Source organism: Homo sapiens, chromosome 4 (assembly GCF_000001405.40).
Source record: "Homo sapiens chromosome 4, GRCh38.p14 Primary Assembly".
NCBI lineage: Eukaryota > Metazoa > Chordata > Mammalia > Primates > Hominidae > Homo > Homo sapiens.
The window spans coordinates 67,483,574-67,508,003 of NC_000004.12; the positions used below are offsets into that span (position 1 = coordinate 67,483,574).

The 24,430-nt window shown below is 36.1% G+C and overlaps 1 protein-coding gene across 5 annotated transcripts in view; it reads right to left on the minus strand.

Moving 5' to 3' along the window:
- Nucleotides 1-24,430, minus strand: part of CENPC (centromere protein C) — a 76,742-nt gene that overhangs the window by 14,812 nt on the left and 37,500 nt on the right. For 2 of the 5 annotated variants that reach the window (XM_047449526.1, NM_001812.4), the window contains exons 11-17: nt 23,215-23,361; nt 21,632-21,711; nt 11,586-11,639; nt 10,311-10,415; nt 9,296-9,424; nt 8,607-8,702; nt 6,394-6,548 (exon numbers count right to left, since the gene is read on the minus strand). In XM_047449526.1, coding sequence (XP_047305482.1) covers nt 6,394-6,548; nt 8,607-8,702; nt 9,296-9,424; nt 10,311-10,415; nt 11,586-11,639; nt 21,632-21,711; nt 23,215-23,361 — 766 coding nt within the window. Of the gene's footprint in view, nt 1-6,393; nt 6,549-8,606; nt 8,703-9,177; nt 10,129-10,310; nt 10,416-11,585; nt 11,640-21,631; nt 21,712-23,214; nt 23,362-24,430 lie in introns of those variants that run through there. The other 3 variants (NR_155754.2, NM_001362481.2, XM_011531542.4) reach the window with 3 other exon arrangements.

Here is a 24,430-nt window from a genome sequence, read left to right on the forward strand (position 1 = left end):
ACAGTCTCAGGCAGGTCCCTCAGTAAGTATTCCAGAAGAAACCAATGTTATTATAGGAGATGACAGCTCCATGTGTGTTACTATTCCCAAAGACCTTACAGTGGGACAAGATGTGGTAGTGCAAGACAGTGATAATGATCCTAATCTTGTGTAGCCCAAGGCTGATGTGCTGTTTGTGTCTTACTTTTTAACAAAAAAGTTTTAAAAGTTAAAAAAAAAATAGAAAAAAGCTTATAGAATAAGGAAATAAAATATTTTTGTACAGCCAAACAGTATGGTTGAATTTTAAGTATTACAAAAGAGTCCAAAAGTTAACAACAACAACAAAAGGATATAAAGTGAAAATGTTACAGTTAGATGAGGTTTATTACTGAAGAAAGAAAAATTCTGTTTATGAATTTAGTGTGGCCTAAGTCTACAGTATTTATAAAGTCTACAGTAGTGTACAGTAATGTCCTAGGTCTTCACATTTACTCAGCACTTACTCACTGACTCATCCAGGACCACTTCCAGTCCTGAAAGCTCCATTCATGGTAAGTGCCCTATAAGGGTAACATTTATCTTTTATGCCACATTTTTATTGTACTTTTTCTACATTTAGATACACAAATACAACTGTCTACAGTATTCAGCACAGAAACACGCTGTACAGGTTTGAAGTACAGAAGCAACAGGGTATCATCCTATATAGCCTAGGTTCGTAGTAGGCTATATCATCTTATGACGTTCATAAGACAAAATAGCTTAATGACTCATTTCTCAGTAACACATAGCTGTAATTTGTTAGAGCAGCAACTGAAAACTAATACAGATGTCCCCAACCCCCAGGACAGGGACCGCTACTGGCAGTGGCCTGTTAGGAATGGGCTCACACAGCAGGAGGTAAGCAGCACGCCAGTGAGTGTTACTGCCTGAGCTCTGCCTCCTGTTAGATCAGCAGCAGCATTAGATTCTCTCAGGCACATGAACCCTATTGTGAAATGTGCATGTGAGAAATCTAGGTTGTGTGCTCCTTATGAAAATCTAATGCCAACTCCCACTGCCACCACCAATTTTTGTGGAAGAAAAATTGTCTTTCACAAACCAGTCCTTGGTGCCAAAAAGGATGGGGACCATTGTAATACAGGAAGAGATTTCTTTTATTTTTCCTTATTTTGTTTTTCCTTATTACTTACTGGCTTATGAAAATTCTACAGCCACTGTAAAGATTATCACCTACACTATAAAGATTATCACCGCACTGGGCGCAGTGGCTCACGCCTGTAATCCCAGCACTTTGGGAGGCCTAGGTGGGCGGATCACGAGGTCAGGAGATCGAGACCATCCTGGCTAACACAGTGAAACCCCATCTCTATGAAAAATACAAAAAATTAGCCAGGCGTGGTGGCGGGCACCTATAGTCCCAGTTACTCGGGAGGCTGAGGCAGGAGAATGGCGTGAACCTGGGAGGTGGAGCTTGCAGTGAGCTGAGGTCACGCCACTGCACTCCAGCCTGGGTGACAGAGCGAGACTCCAACTCAAAAAGATTATCACCTACACTAAAAAAATACCTAGGCTTTATGTATGCCTCTTTAAAGGTCACATGCTTAGGACAACAAACTACTCAATCTGATTGAAGAATCAAAGAAAGCAAAAAGCTAAATCCCTATTCCCCTCAAAATCATATGTTAAACAAGCATCAAGACTAAGAAAGTAAAAGAGGATAAATCTCTCAATCATGCTGGCTTTCATATTCAAACATGCCAAATTTCATACTTTATACATAGGTAGCACACACTGGCAGTGACCTGGTTTTTTGAGCAACTAAAATAAACAGCATAAGGCCTTCAAACTTTGAGATTCAGCCATTGTTAGAAATTAGTTTGTCTCCTGAAAATTCACACTCTGGAATCTTAACCCCCCCAATGTGATGGGATCAGGAGGTGGGGAATTTGGGACGTAATTAGGTCCTGAGTGCAGAGCCTTCAGGAATGGGACTAGTGCCCTTATAAGAGACACAGATCAAAGTCTATGGTATTCTTATTATAGCAGCCCAATCTGACTAAGACATCCATCAAGAATGTTTTGCCTCAGATAATTATTTCTCCTCCTTATTTTTTATTACTACTTTGTACAATGATCATAATATACCAGAATAACAATAACAGCTAGCACTTATATAGCACTTACTCTATACCAAGCAGTATTATGAGAACTTTATTCTTATTCACTTAATGTATATGCCCACTAATGAGACAGCGACTACTTTAGTAGCTTTTTATGGATGAAGAAACTGAGGCACAGAGAGGTTAAGTAATTTTCCAAGGTCACAATGTAAATGGCAAAGGGGGGGAGTTTGAACTCAGGCATTTAGATTACAGAATTCATTCCCTAATCACTGTGATATACTGCCTCCCTAAATGGGGAAAAAAGCCCCCCGAAATGTTTCAAAGGTATTTTTATAACTTAATAAGACAAAAAAAGTTATTACATCCAAAAATAATTTGCCTTAATCAAAAAGACAAAAAAGTAATACTAAAAAGTATATATTTCTAGTGTTTTTTTCTCATCTATTCAATTTGGTTCTCTAAGCACACCTCTCCTCATTTCTGTAAACATTTAATTAAGAAAGCTTTTGAAACATACAAAAATAGAATGATGAACTCTCATGAATACTTAATGCTAACCACCTGCCCAAGCCAGAGTCTACTATCCTCACTCCATCTTATTTCAAAATAAATGCCCAGTATCATAATTCATCTGCAAATATTTCAGTATGTACTGAAAGATCAAGTGCTTCTAAAAAACATAACCGCAATACTGTTATCACACCTAAAAAATAAATATTTAATACCAAATATCTAGTTAATAGTCAAATTTCCAATCATCAGTTAAACATATCTTCAAGGATTTCTTTGAATCAGGATCCAGGTTAGCACCACATACAGTGATTGGTTGATCTGTTTCTTAAATTTCTCAATCAATATTAGCGGTTCTCAATCAAGGTGATTTTGCCTCTCAGGGACAACGGACAATTTCTGAAGACATATTTGATTTTGTCACAACTACAGTGGTGCTACTGGAATCTAATGAGTAGAGGCCAGGTAAGCTTCTACTTACAGGGCCTTACCTACAGGACGGCCCCCACTACAACAAAGAAGTATCTAATCAAAAATGTTACTAGTGCCATGGTTGAGAAACCCTGATTCCCTAGGTTTCACCTGGTTCTTTTTTATTTCTTACATTTAATTTATTGAAAACATTAAGCAGTTTGTCATAAAAATCTTCATGCAGGTGGATTTTGCTGACTACATCCCCAGGTATCATTTGAAAGATTTCACCACACTTTATTTCTTGTAAACTGGTAGTTAAATCTAGAGACTTGATCAGATTCAGGTTTTGTATTTGCTTTTAGGTTTTTTTTTTTTTTTTTCTTTTTTAAGGCATGGGGTTGGCAAGACTACTTCTTGGATAGTGTTGTATTTTTCTATCAGGAGGCACATAATGCTTGGTTGTATTCTTTTTAGTTATCTGTCAGCCACTGAGCCTTGATGCCTAGATCCCAATAGCTTATCAGGGATTGCAAATGGTAGTATTTTAACTCCAACATTCCTTCTTCACTCATTAGCTGGAATATTATTCTAATAAGAACAAACTCATCTATTATTTGATTACCTAATAGCACAGTTTATATAGAAAAGGCAGAATCAGTTGTTAAAGTGAGTTGGCTTCCTAGAATCCTCCAACAGTAACAAATTTTTGTTGTAGTAGTAGTAGTAGTAGTCTTAGAAATTCATGGATTTAGATATAATTGATACATATCAATCTACTGAAGTTATTCTTGTTAATACTCAAGTTTCATATCCTTAGCCAGCCAGTGGTAGCATCTTCAAGTTGGAACCTGAAACATGACCCAATCTTAATGGTTTCTGATTAGTAGTTTGCTATCGATTCCAAGCTCAGTTTCAGGCCTAGAATCAGGCATTCCTCCAAGGAACTGGTTCTTTTAAGTAGGTTGCTGTCACCTTTTTGTTTTTTTAGCTCTGAAACATTTGTCTAATTTTAAAAATATTCTCAACCATTTTTCATTGGGTTTTTTCTCTCTCCTGAAATTCTTATTATTTGTATTTAGGCATGCTTTTCTCTCTTCTCTACATTATTTAACTTTAATATTTTCTACTTTTTAATTTCCTTCTTGTCTCCTGGGAAGTTCTACAACCAGCTCTCATAATTAATATGTAAATTCTTCTGTAGTTTGATTTTAATAAACCTACTACTCTTCTCTTTTAAATATTCTCTAGCAGTGTTTGAAAGAGAGTTAATGGCCTATGCTGGTTCTCCATCTTGTCCTGTTTATTATCTTTTTCAAAAGCATATATTTGTAAGTGTGCTTCATGTTTTAAAATGTAAAAATACGAGTCTTATTAAAAAAAACTTCAGCTTTAATTTTCATTTATTTTCATTATAAAAAGTTAAAGGTAATATATAGAAGAAATAAAATCAACTAAAATAACTACATAATCACAGAGTAAAACATGTATTCTCTTCAAGATTTTATTTACATTTTTAAATTCTAGTTAGAAAAATAGATACTATATACAAAGAACTTTTATCTTGCATATTTGCTTAAACATTTATCCCAAGGGTCTTCATATATGGCTGTTCTTCAAAATAAAATGCTCAAACTAATTTTAATGTGCTTAGTGCAGTACCTGGAACACATAAGTTCTGTATAACTGTTTATTATATCACAGAATGGTTTATCCCATTACTAAGTCAAAATTAAAATATAACCATTTTCTTCCTGTAGCACATTGTAGTGGTTTCTAATTCTGCAATTACCATCAATGATTCAATAAATAACTACATATGTTCAGCACCCCTCACTCTGAACTTCCAAATTACTTCCCTGGGAAAAATTTCTAGAAATGAGTCACAGGTTACAGGGTATGAATACTTTTCTAATAATTTCCATTAACTCAGTAACTATAAAGTGTCATTTGGATTTAAATGTGTATTCCTTTGAATATTAGCCAGATTACACACTTTTAAACATCTGTTACTCAAATTTCCTTTTGTATAATAAAGGCATTACAGTTTAATAGGTAACTGCTATTACTTCAGTGATGATAATTCATGTTTATCCTCATTATTAGTTACTTTATTATTATACAGGGACCATCTATGCTTTTAAAATGTGTTATTTTCACTCATAATAATAACTGGAGGCCTATAACATTTTCAGTTTGAATTAATGAATATTGTTAAATTATTTTAAATCATGATTCTAACTATACTGATGTAGTAATAATCTTTGACTTTCATATGTATCTTTTCCTTGCCTTGCCTAAATTTGCCCTTCTTTGTTAATATAAACTCAAGAGTCTTCACAATTTTTCCCTCCTTTTTGAATTTACTTTAAGTTTGTTGGCAAAGAGAATCATTCTGACTGTGATACTTTAGTAGCACAATTTCAGACTCCTGAAATGTCAGATACTGAAAGATGTTCCTTAGCTATATTTTTTAACTGCTGGTATAATGTTAAATATTCTTAAAATTTGGTGCTTTTCAAATTCTATATTCTACAATTTTCAAACTCAGACTACAAATATTTTTTATATATATAAAATATTCCTGTTATACATACACACACACACACACACACACACATACACACATATAAAACAGACCAATGTTGCAGAGGTGTATGTCTCTAAATGGGGGTGGGGGTGGAAGAAAGGAGATAAAGAGAAAGAAGGAGAAGATAGAAACTGACTCACCTTGAATCTCATTACAACTTCAGCCAGTAATATTGTTACATATAATAGTATATTATTTAGCACTTACTGAAGCAACTAGCTTAGTCCTGAGTCTATGTCTAAATAGTTAAGTAGTTTTTTTATAATCTCACTCATTTTATTTACTTTTTTCTCAGGTTACTGTTTTATTGATATATAAAAATTTTACATGGTACATGTCACATTTTAATACCTGTATGCAATGCATAATGATCAAATCAGGGTAACTGGGATGTAAGTGATTTTTGAAGAAGTCTTTTAACCTATTTCTCTACTGCATTATCATAGAAATGTGGAATTAGATTTAATCTCTATAATCCCCCCCAGCACTAAAATTCTAATGATTTGTTTGCAAACCTATATTTAAGATGTTTTTAAGTAAAGAACATTCCTTAAATTTCTGAATCTCAAAATACAGTGCTATGCAGAGAACAGATATTGTCAAATAACTGTTGGCTGGTTGACTCTAAACAGATTTAACAAATAAAAACCTTTCTCTGTGTGGTGTAGTAATCGAATTTCATTTCTGAGAAAACAGCATTTTAATGTCTCATCAAATCCAATAAATCAGAGTTCTACCAAGAGTGAAACATAAATATATAAAAAAAGTACTCACCAATATATCCTGGCCAACATGCTGCTTTCCCTTTTCTTCTTGTGGTCCTAATATCAATTTCCCAGTAGAAAAAAAGGGTGTATCCAATGTCTTGTATACCTTCAACTCACCATGCTTAACAAAAAATTGATATGTATCTTGTGGCCTTACAAGATCTAGGAGTAAAACAGTAATACAAATATAAAACAACAGCAGTATTGGTTAATGATATAACATATACACATATATATAATAAAGAGTCATTTCTGGATATAAATCTGCCTTAGAGAGTTGTTTCAGAGCATTAACTCTGGAGCTAGAATGCCAGAGGTCAAATCCTGTCTCTGTCTTAAAAGCTGCATGACCTTAGGCAAGTTACTTAAGCTCTCTCTCACTGTGCCTCAATTTCCTTTTCGATAAAATTAAATAATAATAAGTTCATCTATTCGATATTAATGAGCTGCTGTGAATATCAACGAGTTAATGTGTGTAAACTATTTAAAATATTGTCTGGCAAAAAGTACGCACTGTTAGCACCAGCTGAATAACAAAATGGCAGTATTATAGGAACTGAGACAGAAAATAGAATTAGCTGAGATAAAAAAAAGAATTCTCTATTTTTAAAGTTTAACATAAACCACAAATGTATCATCACCATGCCAATAGATTTTTTTTCCTGCTTGACTAATAATTTTTATTAGGTAAAGTTTGTGAGAAAGCAGAGTTCTAATGGTTGTTCATAAATTACTACCTCACTTACAAAAATTTCCATTACTTAACAAACTTTTCCAGATCTATAATTAATAAATTATTCTGTCATCAATGTCTGATTCTGTTTCCCAGGATATTTGGGAATGTTAGTGATCCTACAGACTACATGATATAGAAATAAATATATATATATATATATATATATATATATATATATATATAGAAATATATAGAAATATATATATAGAAATATATATATAGTAGATTCAAGAAACAAATAAGAAATGAACTTTTGACAACACTCACAATAACCTGGTAGAGTACAGCAATGCTTTCAGTTAAGACACTAAACAAAACTCCATACTTCTAAGCTCTGTTACCAAATAAATAATCTGCATATAGAGATACCTTTGCTAAGGTGTTAAGATATTAAATGAAATCTATTTTCATGGCCAAAATTTTAAGTAGGAGTACCATTATTACTACCTTTCTTTTTTTAGGAATTAACTAACTAGTTTTATTATTATTATTATTGAGACAGGGTCTGGCTCTGCACACCCAGGCTGAAGTGCAGTGGCATGATCTCGGCTCACTGCAATCTCCACCTCCCAGACTCAAGCAATTCTCCTGTCCCAGCCTCCCAAGCAGCTGGGACTACAAGCACCCACCACCACGCCCAGCTACCATTACCGCGTTTCTGATTTGACCTACTTCTCCTCTGATATAGGACAAACAGCCCTTAGTACTCAATGGTACAGTCATAACAGTTGTTAATATATTTAAATATTTCATATATATATATATATATATATATATATATATATAGAGAGAGAGAGAGAGAGAGAGAGAGAGAGAGAGAGAGAGAGAGAGAGCCTGGTTGTTAAACAGTTGCGTAATCCATAAACTCCTATCCCACTATAGCCCATCCCTTGGGGATCTTACATGACCTGCTAGAGACTAAATATTTAATCCAATACAGCAGGAGGCTTCCAGGACTTTGCAGCACCAGCTTTAAGGTTAAACCTGGCATCTGTACAACTGATTGATGCCCTTGCTAGTCATCCTCACAAAGGATTCATATCCCAGGTAACATTACTGCCATCTGTAGGCCCAGAAGTTTGTCTGTGCCCTACCCACAATCCCTGCCTGGCTTCATGATAAGCGTATCCTTGAGTCTGCCAACTATCTATCTACAATTCCCCATAAACAGCCTCTGTTCCCATGTGTCCTCCTGGTCAAAGAAGGCCTAGACCCTGTTGGGGGAGACGACATTCCTGATTGTAGCACTACTTGTGCCCCAGAGGACAAGTCCGGGGTGTTAAGTGTCCCCTGGAGCTGTCTGATATCAATATTCCCCCACAGTTGTCTTCACATAGGTTGCTCGTTGGAATTAGACTCTTCTGGACTTTAGCACTGATAGAATTGGGGAGAGAAAGGGAAAGTAGACAGGCCAATCATCAAGCAAGCAATATTTTCTTACAAATTGTTTAATTAAGTATTTTCAGTATCATGCCTGATCTTACCCATGAGAATAATCTCTCTTGTTTCTGGGTCCTTTACCCTCGTTGGCTGCAAAGGATCTCCAAGAGGTATACCTAGATTTACCATTAAGTTAGTCTCTGCAAAAGAAATACCATTGAAATACAAACTACTTACTTAAAATTATTCTCAATCCCAAAAAGTTCAGTACAAAATATAGCTATAGAGAAGTTATAAAACTGTCAAACGCAAAGAAGTCTCTTCCTATTTATAAATCACTCTGATAAACAAAAATTCAAACTTAAAAACCCATAATGATTTAATATAAAAGCAAACACCCTAAACTTCCTATTTTCTGTAAGCCTTAACATGTAAACTCTTGCATTATCAAGGTATTAAGTGATGTTTTGCATAATCTCTAAGTGAGATAGAGGTATATAAAACACTTTAGAAATGTCTATGTTAACCATAGCTTGGGCATAGGAATGGTGGGTTTCATTTGACTGGGAAATTTACTCATGAAGAAATTTATAATATGCTATTAATAATTTTTTAAGAATAAAATTAGCTTACTTTCCATTTGGAAGAAAGTAGACATTAAAAAATGAATTTTACCTATGGTATTATTTCTGAAGTTTTTGGAAGTAAATTTCATATTTTGCAAAGAGCTTCTTCTCAAAGTACTCCTATTTAAAATAAAATCTAAAAGTTACTTTCAGAAATAAGTTCATACTTCTTTCATCGTTATCAAGACAGATCCTTTTCTTATTAGATTTTTTGTTGACTTTTCCAATATTTTCTTTTGCCTTCCTTTTAGACGATATTGTGTCTGGAGATAGTACTCCACTAATCACGAATCCTCCTGAAATTTAACAAAAAAAGTAAAATATACATGGGAAAGACAAAATCTTGAAACAAAACTCCTTAAATTTAATATGGCACATTTCCTTTCAAAGTACCAAAGAATATATGTCTGCAGCTAATAGTTAAAATAACACAAATACCAACCAATTTCATTATATCTCTACCACCCTAAATCAGAGGCTGATAAAACAGGATTAGATGATGAAACATGATTAGATGGTCCTATTGCTCCCCTGAAATCAACAGTCATCAGTGGAGGCTTTTAAAAAAAAAAAAAAAAGGAGGGGGCTAGCAATGAACTATTTATAGAAATCCACATGAGTTTAGTCCTTTGACTTAGATATATCCATCAAAGAAAGAAATATGGCCAGGCACAGTGGCTCACACCTGTAATCTCAGCACTTTGAGATGCCAAAGCGGGAGGACTGCTTGAGCCCATAAGATGAGACCAGCCTGGACAACATAGCAAGGCCTCATCTCTACAAAAATAAGAAAGAAAATAACTCTACGATTAACACTACACTTTCTTGCCCACCCTACACTACTTTGTAGAAAACTATGAGAAAATGGAAAATGGTTAATAGGAAAAATAATGAAAACTACTTTACCTTTACCAGTTACAATTTTCTCACGTTCTAATCTAACGCTTTATATTATGCAATTGGAAATCTTGTCAGATGATACAGGAATAACAACATTCAGCTACCAAAGAGAAAATATCAGCATCTCTACATTAATCAGACAAAAATGAATTTAAATCCTATTATCAAAATTTGGGGGGGTGATGATTAAGTAAGGTAATGTATATAAACATGTAGTGCAGTGTCTGGCACATAGTAAACAAATTTTTTATTGACAGATATTATAACATAAATAAGTTTTACCTGATGGCCTTCCTTGATAATCTATTCGCTCTCCTCGCCAGTACTCCAAAGGTTTCAAACGTGTTCTCTTGGTCCTGCGAACATTTGGTGTGTTGGAGGGCAATACTATAAAAAGATGTCAGACAAAAGTGTATACATAGTTTTTAGTTGATGGTACTTAGCAGTGGAAAGACTGTCTTTTAGAACATGAAAGCTTTATTTTTTAGAACATGAATATTTTTCTAGACAAAAGACTAGAAAAAACAAATATTTATGCTAACAATTAAAGAAAAGCCAATGGAAAAACAGGCTACCAAATTGGCAAATATTTAAAAACCTAATAATACTCAGCGTTGACAATGTTAAATGTACACTCATCTTATCTGAACAATGCAAAGTTCTGTATACTAAATTGAGTTTGTTGGCTTATCTTCAAATTCCCATGTTCTTACCTATTTTTTGTTTGCTAAAGCTATGCTGAAGCTAACGAGAAGTTGCCTACTGCTCTTAGGCATAATGCTCAATGTTCCCCTCTGTAAATACTGAAGCCCTGCTCAGGAACATTTTTATTTCCCTTTCCCTACTCCTGATTCATCATTTCACCCCAAGACAAGCATTAAGTATTGAGAGGTATAGCAGTCTCTCATCACATAGGCCCACAAAATACTGACAATATCTAAGTTCTGGAGTAAGGCAATGAGAGAAAGCTTCACTCCTATTGGTAATCTGAGTATGAGTGAAAGAGCACTCACAGCCTCAAATAAAGGGAGAAACATGGAAAGCCACCCAACATCACAGAAAGGTGGGAACTATCATGTATCTTGACTGGCAAATATCTCTTTGGGAACCATGGATTGTTAATCTTTACATGGGCCTCTCCATGGGTTCCACAGTTCTTAGCTTTGTCTACTTACTATCCTAGCTACTGCTTTGTTTAGGAGTCAACTGGATTAAAGTGGAAGGAGATGCTGTCAAGGAAGCCATCTACCTGGTAGTTACAGTTTCTTTGACAAAATTCTCCACCCTAGCTTCATAGCTAAGGGAGGATCATGCCCCCTACTATGGGGCAAAAAGTGAGAGGGCAATAGGATTTATAAATGGACAATAGACTAATTCAAGTGGCTTGTGGTGACTTACTATGAAATTCATAAAAACTAAGTGCATAATTTTAATTTATCTGCCAATTAATCCACATAATCGTATTTCTCCTGCTTAAGAAGAAATAAGTTATATTTAGAAACAGAAACTTAAGGTATTTTTCTCAATGAAAATATTAAAAAAGAAAAATATTCTTACCTAGTTTGTGATGGATTCTGTTCTTTGGTATCACTTTAGATTGTTTTGAGTCATCTACAAAATGCAAAAGATAATATCATAAGAAATGACTGCTAATTCCATGTTAAATTAAAATGTGTTTCCTGGTCAATTTCAGTATGAGTATTTTAAATAAAGTTTGACCTGATAATGTATTTTATTACTCCTTTTGCTTTTCATTGCTCAACTATAAAAACTAAGGAAAAGAACTATTTCTCTAGACTTTGCTACAATGAATACATTGCAAGTTTGTCCAATCCACCTTATTTTGTGGTTGTTCTGTTTTGTTTTGTTTTAGACCTTTAGCAGCCTGAAACCATGCTTTTTAGTTTCTGTCTCTGGCGACAAGTGGAAAAGAGGGATGAGGAAGGGGTTTTATTGGACCAACCAGAAACAGAAACTAAGAACTCATGACTGTATTCGCTCCCTTGGACACCCCTGGTTTTTATTCTAAACAGTGTAACAGTTAAAACAAACAAACAAACAAAAAAAACAACAGATTTTCTATTGCTCATGGAAAGATGAAATAAGCCACTTGTGGATAAAAATGTAGGGCCTGATAATGGATAATTAATATGCTATTTATGAACTATCTGTAACTTTCTCTTTAAAGTTCTAAAATAGTGTAAGTGTACTGAATTTAGCAGTGTGCCAATAAGCTCAGGGGTTCTCAACTTTGGTAACTAGCACCTAAAGATGGCTGTCATCCCTTCTTTGCCTTTCTATGCACAAATGTTCTGTATCAAGAAGCAGAGTCTCGTTCCCTTCTCCTTCAATCTCTGCTGGAGTTAGTGACTTGCTTAACTAATAGTATGCAACAGAAATGATGTTCTGGGGCTTAAAAGGCTAAGTCCTAATACAATCTACAGGTTCCATCTAGAAGTCTTGGGATCTCACTCTAGGGGAAGACAGCAACAATATGAAGATTAACACAAGACTGCCATGCTGTGAGGAAACCTCATGTGGCCACATGGAAAAGCCACATGGAGGAAAAGAGATGCTTGGCCAACCTCAATGTCCCAGTTCTTCCAGCTGGGTCCAAACATGTAAGTGAGGAAGTTACCTCGAATGTCCAACCCATTTGAACTTTCAGATGACTCCAGCCCCAGCAGCTTGCATTTAACTATATAAATTCATGAGTGTACTCAAGTGGCAATTACCCAACTAAGCCAAGTCAATTCATAGAACCATGAAAGATAAATCAATCACTGTATTAAGCCTTTAAGTTTTGGGGTGGTTGGTTACGCAGCAATATACAACTGGGACACAATGTCCATGAACCACCTAAAACTGCAAATACAATTTTGTATGAAATATATACCTTTTTTCCCTAAAAAGCAGGTCTGAGCTTTTATCATATTCTCAAATGAGTCCATGAAAGCAAACAAACAAAAATTGTTAAGAATGATTGAATTAGATATTTTATAAAATTGCTGGTTTGGAAGAAACTTCAGTGATCATAACATCTAATTTCCCTGTCAGAAACAGGCAAATCTCTAGACATCAGAAGTAGATTAGTAATTGGGTAGGCCCAGGGAAAGGAAATGAAAGTCGGCTACTAAAGGGTAAAGGGGTTTCTTTTTGGGGGTTATGAAAAGGTTCTAACATCGATTGTGTCAATGACTACATATCATTGATTTGTACACTCTAAGTGGATTAATTATATGGTATGTGAAGTCTAGCTTAATAAATCTGTGTACCCCCCACCCCACCCCCACCCCCACCCCCAAAAATTCAATTTCCTATGCAGTCTCCCCTAGAACAAGTAGAGGTCTCATCTCTGTTGGAAATTCTCCTGTGACACTGGGCCTCGGAGGCAGTGTCAGAGTGATACAAGGAACCAAAGAAACAAGTAAATATACTGAGGATAATGGGAGTCAGGTTTCTCACTATTTGAGAAGAACTTGTAATAAATACAGGCGGCCAGGCGCAGTGGCTCACAACTGTAATCCCAGCACTTTGGGAGGCTGAGGCAGGTAGATCAGGAGGTCAGGAGTTCGAGACCAGCCTTACCAACATGGTGAAACCCCATCTCTACTAAAAACACAAAAATTAGCCGGGCATGGTGGCACACGCCTGTAATCTCAGCTACTCAGGAGGTTGAGGCAGGAGAATCGCTTGAACCCAGAAGGCGGAGGTTGCAGTGAGCCGAGATCACACCATTGCACTCCACTCTGGGCGACAGAGGGACACTCCGTCTTAAAAAAAAATTTAAAAATAAATAAATAAAAATACAGGCATACCTCAGAGATATTGCCAGTTCAGTTCCAGACTACTGCAGTAAAACAGATACTGCAATAAAGAAGTCAAACAGTTTTTTAGTTTCCTGGTGAATATAAAAGTTATTTCTTTTGCTGTTTTGTTTTGGTTTTTTGAGACTAAGTCTCACTCTGTCACCCAGGCTGCAGTGCAGTGGTGGGATCAAGACTCACTGTGGCCTCAACTTCCTGGCAGCAAATGATCCTCCCGCCTCAGCCCGCCGAGTAGCCGGAACCAGAGATGCACACCACCACGCTCAGCTAATTTTTGTATTTTTTGTAGAAACAGGTTTCTGGCATGCTGGCCAGGCTGGTCACAAACTCCTGGGCTCAAGTGACCGGCCTCGCCTCCCAAAGTGTTGGGTGGCTCCCAAAGTGAGCCACCATACCCAGCCAAAAGTTATGTCTATACTATACTATAGTCTATTAAATGTGCAAGAGCATTATGTCTAAAAAAATCAGTGTACATATACCTTAATTTAAAAATATTTTATTGCTAAAAATGCTAAAGATCAGCCAGGCATAGTGGCTCATGCCTGTAATCCCAAGACTTTGGGAGGCCCAGGAGGGTGGATCACTTGAGGCCAGGAGTTTGAGACAAGCCCGACCAACATGGCGAAACCCCATCTCTACTAAAAATTAAAAAAATTAGCTGGGTGTGGTGGTGTACACTTTGTAATCCCAGCTACTCTTGGTGGCTGCGGCAAGAGAATCGCTTGAACCCAGGAGGTAAAAGGTTTCAGTGAGCCGAGATCACACCACTGCACTCCAGCCTGGGTATTAGAGCAAGCCTCTGTCTCATTCTCAAAAAATAAAAATAATAAAATATAAAAATGCTTATCATCTGAGCTTTCAGTGAGTTTTAATCTTTTTGCTGATAGGGTATTTTGCCTTATTGTTGATGACTGCTGACTGATCAGGCTGGGGTGTCTGTGGCAGTTTCTTAAAATAAGTCAACAATGAAGTTTCCCTGGAGAATATAAAATGCTGTTGTATAGCATTTTACTCACAGCAGAACTTCTTTCAAAACCGCAATCAATCCTCTCAAACTCTGTCGCTGCTTTACCAACTAAGTTCATGGAATATCCTAAATCCTTTTTTGTCATTTCAAGGGTTCACAACATATTCACCAGGAGTAGATTCCAACTCAAGAAATCAGTTCCTTCGTTCTTCCATAAGAAGCAACTCCTCATCTGTTCAAATTTTGTCATGAAATTGCAGCAATTCAGTTTCATCTCCAGACTCCACTTCTAATTCTAGTTCCCTGGCTATTTCCACCACATCCAGTTACTTCCTCCATTGAAGTCTTGAACCCTTCAAAATCACCCATAAGGGTTGGAATCAACTTCTTCCAAGCTCCTGTTAATATTGATATTTTGACCTCCTCCCATGAAACACAAATAGTTTTAATGGCATCTAGAATGGTGAATCCTTTCCAGAAGGTTTATTTACTTTGTCCAGTCCCATCAGAGGAATCACTACTTGTGGCAGCTACTGCCTTACAAAATTTATTTCTTAAATAATAAGACTTAAAAGTCCAAATTATTCCTTGATCCATGCATGAGCTGCAGAATGAATGCTCTCTTAGTAGGCATGAAAGCAACATTAATCTCCTCATCTTTGTCCATTAGAGCTGCTGGGTGGCCTGGTGCATTGCCATGGATGTGCTGTCACCCAGGCTTTGTTGTTCTACTAATAGAGCAAAGTAGATTTAGCATAATTCTTAAGGACTCTAGGATTTCTGGAATGGTAAATGAGCACTAGCTTCAACTTAAAGTCACCAGCTGTATTAGCCCTTAACAAGAGAGTCACAGCCTGACCTTGGAAGCTTTGAAGTCATGCATTGACTTCTCCTCAGCTATGAACGTCCTAGATGACATCTTCTTTCAATAGAAGGCTATTTTGTCTACAGGGAAAATCTGTTGTTTAGTAAAGACACCTTCAATTATCTCAGCTAGATTTTCTGGATAACTTGCTGCAACATCAGACCTTGCTGCTTCACCTTGCTCTTTTATGTTATGGAAACAGCTTCTTTCCTTAAACCTCATGAACCAGCCTCTGCTAGCTTCAAACTTTTCTTCTGCTGCTTCCTCACCTCTCAGCCTCCACAGAATTAAAGAGAGTTAGGGCCTTCCTCTGGATTAGGCTTTGGCTTAAAGGAATGCTGTGGCTTGTTTAATCCTCTGTCCAGACCACTGAAACCTCTATATCAGCAGTAAGGCAGTTTCCCTTTCTTATCATTCATGTGTTCACTGTAGTAGCACTTTTCTTTTCCTTCAAGAACTTTTCCTTTGCATTCACAAATTGGCTGTTTGGTGCCCGAGGCCTAGCTTCTGGACTATCTCGGTTTCTGACATGCCTTCCTCACTAAGCTTAATCATTTCTAGCTTTTGATTTAAAGTGAAAAATGTGTGACTCTTTCTTTTACTTGAACACTTAGAAGCCATCGTAGGGTTATTATTGGCCTAATTTCAATATTGTGTCTCAGGAAATAGGGAAGCCTGAAGAGAGGGAGAAAGATGGGGAACTGGCCAGTCAGCAGAGCAGTCAGAGCACATGAATTTTCACTTTCTTAAGTAGCTGTGGTTTGCGGTGCCCCAAAACAATTACAATAGTAATGTCAAAGATCACCTGATCACAAATCACCATAAAAGACATAGTAATGAAAAAGTTTGATATACTGTGAAAATTACCAAAATGTGACACAGAGACACAAGGTGAGCACATGCTATTGAAAAAAAAAATGGTGCCAATAAGGCTTACTCAACAAAGGGTTGCCACAAACCTTCAATTTGTGAAAAATGCAGTATCTCCAAAATGCAGTGACACAAAGCACAATAAAACAAGGTATGCCTGTATAAATATAAATATAGAAATAGATATAGATGCCTGTATTGTATATGGTGTGTACATATGTGTATGTGTGTGTGTATATATATATCTATTTCCTATCTCTGTACACTGAGAAAGACTAGAAGCAATGGTATCCCAAACAAGGATCACGTCAAGTGCCCAAATCTTGGTTTCTAAATGCCATCTTCCACTAAAAAGAACCAGGTTTCCTGGAGCAGTAATTGATCCCAGAGCTGGGGCAGGAAAAAGACTGGAACATCTTATGCCAAAAAACAAAGACAGTATTCACAGAATCATGACAAAAGCACACAGAGACCAGCTGAAAGAAAATCCAGTGACCAAATCTATCACAATTCAAGTATCATAATAAATGGTCAAGATTTTACAACCCCATGGCATAAAATAGTAGTAGTCCATACTGATATAAATAAAAAGAATCATGAATAAAATAATTGGCATGCGGGAGAAAAACTGGCAACTAATTAATGCGGAAGGAATTAAAGAAACAGAAAATAGAAAATAATGTGGTACCATCATTAGTGGCTGATAATTCAAGTGGGAGTCTTGAATGTATGTTAAGGTTGGTGAATGGAGGTTTGACAAGAAACAGGCTATTAAGAGTATCAGAATATCACTCCACAATAATATTTATCAATTATAAGAGAAAAGCAGTGTCTTTACAGTAGAGAAACCTGGCAGACAATAACATGAACAGGTAATCAGGATTGATATCATGTCAGCAGGGCATGGTGGCTCACACCTGTAATCCCAGCGCTTTGGGAGACTGAGGTGTGCAGATCACTTGAGGTCCAGAGTTTGAGACCAGCCTGGCCAACAAGGTGAAAGCCTGTCTCTACTAAAAATACAAAAATTAGCCCAGCATGGTAGCATGTGCCTGTAATCACAGCTACTCAGGAGGCTGAGGCATGAGAATTGCTTGAACCTGGGAGGTGGAGGTTACAATGAGCTGAGATCACACAACTGCACTCCAGCCTGGGTGAGAGAGCAAGACTCCATCTCAAACAAACAAACAAACAAAAAACAAAAGCATCATGTAGATGGGTGAACGTTGTGTGCCTCCTGTGTGATGCACAAATTACATCCCCTAACTCCTAACCCTATAGCATCATTTCTGTAGTATTCCTGTCAAATATGAATGGCACACATTTGATCATGAGTTAAGTTAGGAAAAAAACTAAGAAACTGTTCCATGTTGAAGGAAACTAAGGGACATGGCAGCTAAATGCAGTCGACGATCCAGGACTGGATCTTGAACCAGGAGGAAGAAGAAACTCTGAGATCCAGGACTGGATCCTGAGCTAGAAGGGAAAAGGAACTGCTAGTGAAATCTGAATGGAGTCTGTGAATGAACCTGTGTTGTATTAATGCTGATTTCCTTATTTGTATGGTTCGAGGGTAGTTATATCCTTGTCTTGCTGAAATACATTATGGGGCATTTAAGGGAAATAATATATCATGTCTACAATTCCCTCTCAAATAGTTCAGAAAAAAGATGTATGATAATAGACGTGTATTTATTAGAGGAGGCAGGGAGGGAGATGGAAAAATGTTGTAAAATGTGGACAATTGTGAAATCTTGATGAAGGGGATATGGGATCTCTGTATAAGACTGAAATTATTTCAAAATAAATTATTTTTTAAGTGACTAACACAAGGGACAACTCCTAAATTTCAAAGATTAAAGGATCCTAGTAAGTATGGAGATGGAAGAAAACAGGTTATCTACAAAGGAAAGAAGAAATAAGGCTGCCTTCAAATTTCTATTCATAAGCATTAACTCTCATGAAGCAAAATAGCAATACGGTGATAGTTTAAAGAAAAAAAGATCATGACTCAAGATTATGTTCTCTATTTAGCTGGTGGTTCATTGTGTTTAAAAAGAAAAAAAAAATCCTGAGTCCTTGCTAGAATATGTGAGAATGTCTACCAACTTTACAAAGAAGTAACAAGTATATCTGTTGACAATAAGTGTATATATATTAAACAATTTATTAAAGGAAAAAGTACTGACACAGCGAGTCAAAAACAATTCAATCATATGCTGTTTCTTAGCCACTTTTAATTCTCTAATAAAAGTTAAATAAAAAGATAAAGAAACAACAACCAACCAAAAGAAAGCAGAAGTCACAATACTAATATTAGACAAAACAAACTACAAAGTAAAAAGCATTTAACACAACGAAGCAGATAAATTTGACCAAAGCAGGTACACTCCATATGAAGGCTTATGTGATCAGTAACAGCACTGAAATGTACATAACAAAGACTACAGAAAATACAAGGGCAAAGACAGTTGCAGTGGGAACACTTTACTTCAACTCTAGCAGTCCTTAATAGATCTCAAATAAAAAGAATACATAGGTTGAGAACATCAAGCTTAGTATGTCCAAATCTAACATCCTGTTCTTTTCCTCAAAATCTGCTTCTTCCCCAGTAGTCCCCAGATCAGGTAGTAATATTGCCATTCTTCCAGGAGCTCGGGCCAAAAACCTTCAAGTTCTCTCTAACGCCTCTCTTTTTCTTATACACCACGTATCGTCCATCAGAAAATCCTGTTGACTTTACCCTCAAAAATACCTAAAAATCCTCCTCCTGCTTTCCACTTTCTACTGCTACCACATTGGTCTAAGCCAACACCTCTCACTAGGATTATTTCAACATCTCTCCAGCTAGTCTCCTTGCTTCCAACCTTCCTCCATCCCTTCAACCCCATCAGTCAACTCCTAACACAGGAGCTGCAGTGATTCTGTTAATACAGGTCAAGTCATGTCTCTCTTCTGCTCAAAACCCTCTAATGGCTTCCCATCGCTCTTAGTAAAATTTTGCCTTTAACATCCTATGTGATCTTTCATTCTGTTGCCTCTGTGACATCATTTTTCCTACTACTCGTTCGCTCTCTTCCTCTGCTCTAACCCTCTGGCCTTCTTGGTGTTCCTCGATCAAGACAGACTCTTGACCACATAAGAACTTTTGCCCTTCATCTTCCCTCTACCTGGTACACTATTTACCCAGACAGCTGCACGGTTTGCTGTCTCATCTCTTCAAATCTTTGCTCAAATGATCACTTCCTTAGTGAGGACTTCTCTGCCCATCTACCTAAAAATGTAAACTTCATTTCCCACCCTAAAAGCCATGCTTTATTTCTCTACTCTCAACACCCAACAAATCATAAATTTGTTATCTTTTTATATTGTCTGCCATCCTGCCCCTTCCAGAAATTAAGCTGGAGGGCAGAAATTTTTGTCAGTTTTGTTCACTGACACACCCCTACCCTTAAAATAATAAGTAAATATTCCATAATTTTTCATATTTAAGAATTCCATAAATATTAAAAGTATATTCAAAAAAATATATCCACTTATGTTATCAACAAAATAACTGGATATATATCTTTAAATCCATATCTGTATACAAATTATTCCCTTTTTCAAGCACCAATGGAAAAATTATAAAAACTAAGCATACACTAGACACTAGAACACAAAAAAAACTTACTGAATTCAAACAATAAATAAAATAGACTAAGTTTTCTAGAACAATAAAATGAAACCAGAAAATACTAAAAGAACAAAATAAAACACAACTTCTTAGAATAACAGCAAAAATTGGCTATTTAACATACACCTGATATTAAACTAAGCAAAGAATATGTATTCATCTTTATATCAGCTTATGGGATTGGAGCTGATATCATTTTACAGATAAGGAAACTGAAGTTTAAGAACACTGAAATTTCTTACTCAAGATAATATAGTGATGCTTCCCGATCAGTGGTGAATGGGGCAAAAAAAAAAAAAAAAAAGAACGTAGCTAGTAAGTAGTAGAGCTAGAACCAATCCCAGGTCCATGACCCTGGAGACCAAGCTCTTAACTAATGTACTCTTAAATAACTGCTGGGTCAAAGAAAAATCACTACAATTTAGAGTATACTACAATAACACTACATAGCAAAATCTATCAAATTAAGCCAAAACTATACTGAGGGAAATTGAATGCTGCTTCTTTACCAAAGAAAAAGCAGAAAAACACAGAAAGCATTCAAGTTAAAAGAGAAAATACAATAAATCTAATGACGGGGGAAAAATTAAAAAGTTAAAAGAATAGTGATTATTAGAAAAAAAAGTATAACAGATTACAATCAAGCACGCATTTTTAGGAGCATGAAAAAATTATAAAATTCTCTATTAAGAGGCATCTTTAAACTTCAGTATGAAAATTTTCAAGTACTGAAGGCCGGGAGTGGTGGCTCACACCTGTAATCCCAGCACTTTGAGAGGCTGAGGCAGGTGGATCACAAGGTCAGGAGTTTAAGACCAGCCTGGCCAAGATGGTGAAACCCCATCTCTACTAAAAAGACAAAAAAATTAGCCAGGCGTGGTGGCAGGTGCCTGTAATCCCAGCTACTCAGGAGTCTAAGGCAGGAGAATTGCCTGAACCCAGGAGGTGGAGGATGCAGTGAGCTGAGATTGCACCACTGCACTCCAGCCTGGGAGACAGAGCGAGACTCCGTCTCAAACAAAAAAAAAAAGGAAATTTTCAAGTATTGAAAATAGAGAAAATAGTATAATGAACCCAATACAACCATCAACCAGCTTCAGTAATCATCAACAGATCACTAATCTGCTTCATGTATACCCTTATTAGCTTAACAATTTTAAATACTGGAGTAGACACCTTAAGTGCCAATATTTCATTATGTTCTACTTAAAAAACTGTCACTCATTTTCTTTCTGTCTCACTTAGGTACAGGGTCTTATTAATCTCTAACTAAGGGTCTTAAGAGGTAGGTACTCAATATACACTCGCCATCAGTGACAATGTAAACAAAACATAGCACTCCTTACTCCATATTCATAATGCCATAAAAATCAAGACAGAAAAAAAACAATAGTTTACCTGAACTTCCATGAACTTCCTCATCATCCACATCATTCTTTCCAGACATTAAATAATTATTATTGAGCCTGGAAGGTCCACTTAAGAAAAAAAGGAAACCACAAAATTAATGCTTTTATAATACATATATCTAATGTATTTGCCTTAATGATCATTTTTCTCCTAAAACTGCCATAAGTCTTTCTTATAAAACCAATAGTGATGTTACAAGTCATCAAAAATATATAGTCATCCCTCAGTATTTGTGGGGGATTGATTCCAGGATCCACTGTGGATACCAAAATCCAAGGATGCTCAAGTCCCTTATATATAATGGTGCAGTATTTGCATGTGACTTTCACATATCCTCCTGTATACTTTAAATCATATCTAGGTTACTGATAATACCTAATACAATGTAAATGCTATGTAAATAGTTGTTATACTGTATTTTTATTTGTATTATTTTAAATGTCATATTGTTACTTTTTATTGTTTTATATTTTATTTTCTGAATATTTTCAATCCATGGGGGTTGAATCAGTGGATGCAGAACCCACAGATATGGAGGGCTGACTGTACTTGCTGCATTAAACAAAGACTACAATTTCATCCCATAACTGACAGTTGAGCATCATAAGTACTGAATTTATGACTTACAGATCAGAGTAACAGACTTAGTAAATTCAAATGATAACATCCTGTGGTGAAAATCAAATTATAAAAAAAGAAAGAAATCATCATATTTTAATTAAAAAAAAATATAGCCAAAAACCAATGGAATTTAAAATGTGGTCCAGAAATTGTCAGAGATGATTCAGCCTCTCCTAGTCCTAAATCTCTTTCTACCTATTATGAACCCAGGATAAGCCTAGTCATAACCTCACAAATAGTAAAGAAATCTTAGCCATCCCTTAAAAGTCTGAGAATTTGCTAAAATTTACCCTTTATTCATTTTTTAAAAGGTTATATGACATCAGATATAATTAAGAGTAGGTAATTCAATTTGATCACTAAATGTGGTCATTTTAACATTATATGTCCAAATTCTTTAATACACCACCTTTCAATAGGTGGAGCCTAATTCCACCTCTCCCTGAATGTAGTGTGGACTCAATAAGTTGTTTCTAATGAACAGAATAAAGTAGAAATGACGGTGTACAATGTCAAAGACTAAGTCATTAAAAGACACTGTGATATCCATCATAGTCACACCTTCTCTTGGAGCATTTGCTTTGTGGGAAGCCAGTTGCCATATTCAGCAGCTGAGAGGGCCACATGGTTAAGAAACTAAGGTCTACTGGAAACAGCCAGAACGGAACTGGGGTCTCCAGCCAACAGCGATGTGAGACATTTTATAGGTGGATTCTCCAGTTCCAGACAAGACTTTAAAGGGTTAAAACCAGAAAGATGACTGCTACCTCCTGAGAATATCCGAGCCAAAACTAGCTAGCTAAGCCTCCCAGATTGCTGAGCCATAGAAACTATGAAACAATAAGTGTTTTTAAGCTTTTAACAAAATTAAAATAAAGTTCTTGGGTAATCTGTTATACAGCAATGGGTAACTAATATATACAACTATTATCCTTACAATACACGCATACCTTTCCTCTAAAACTGAAGTCTTATGCTCTCCAGAATCCAAGTTTGACTCTGTTGGTATATTACATGTATATCCACTGGTCTGAGGCTTTAGGGGAACATTCTGTGCAGTCATAATGTTATCTTCATTCTTTGAGCTTCTTGTAGATCTATAAAAATGATAAATGTATGAGTGTTTATACTTCTTCAAAATAAAATTTTCTTCCAGAAACGATACACAGGTGGGTACAAAGACAATGTAATATTGGCTATAACGAATATCAGATCACCCTGTTCAGGTTCTGAGACTTGCAACTAGCTAAGGAAGGAAACTGGTTTCTAGGACCTACCAAGAGTCCCAATTTGAAAAATTCTGATGAGAGAAATGGAGAAGACACCTGCCAAGGAAGGTGGTGAAAGGGACATAAGGAGACCTTATCTATAAGCAGCTTGATATATATTACAGTTAATCTATCATGGTTTACTGGAGAATCCATAAACAACTAAAATTGGCTTCTTTGATATCCCTAGTCAGCCTACTGAGGGGCAATAGGGTCCTCAGAGGGACTGAGCTCATCTCTTTGGTAGTTAGTTTACTCCAAATATATGCAAACAAGATACACTCTTCCTAGTGACTGTATAATTCTTCAGGTTCTAGTATCCTCCTGGGTCCTACCATTAAAGTCAAAAGAAATAAAAGTGATTACAAGAGAATACTAGGAACAACTGTATGCCAACAAATTAAATAACCTAGATGAAATGGACAAACTCCTAGAAAGACACAAATTATCAAAATTGATTCAAGAGGAAACAGTCTCAAAATACCATGAATCAGTAATCAAAAACAAACTACCCATATAGAAAAGCTCAGGCACAGGTGGCTTCACTGCTTTTACCAAACATTCAAAGAGAATTACGACAAATTATTCACAAACCGTTTCAAAAAATAGAGAGATAATACTTCCCAACTCATTGTATAAAGCCAGTATTACCCTGATACCAAAACTAAACAAAGACAACAGAAGCAAAGCAAGCTACCGATCAGAACCCCTCAACAAAATACTAGCAAATTCCAGCAACACAATAAAATAAAAGAGAGAGAAAAGCAGAGAATGGCCTGAAAAAGTGAAACAGAATGGGTATGGGATTTCTTTATGCACTATAATGATATACGCTAATATATTTTAGGACACACTGTCATTTATTTCAGTATATCCTCAGCACCTTACTGATTCCAAC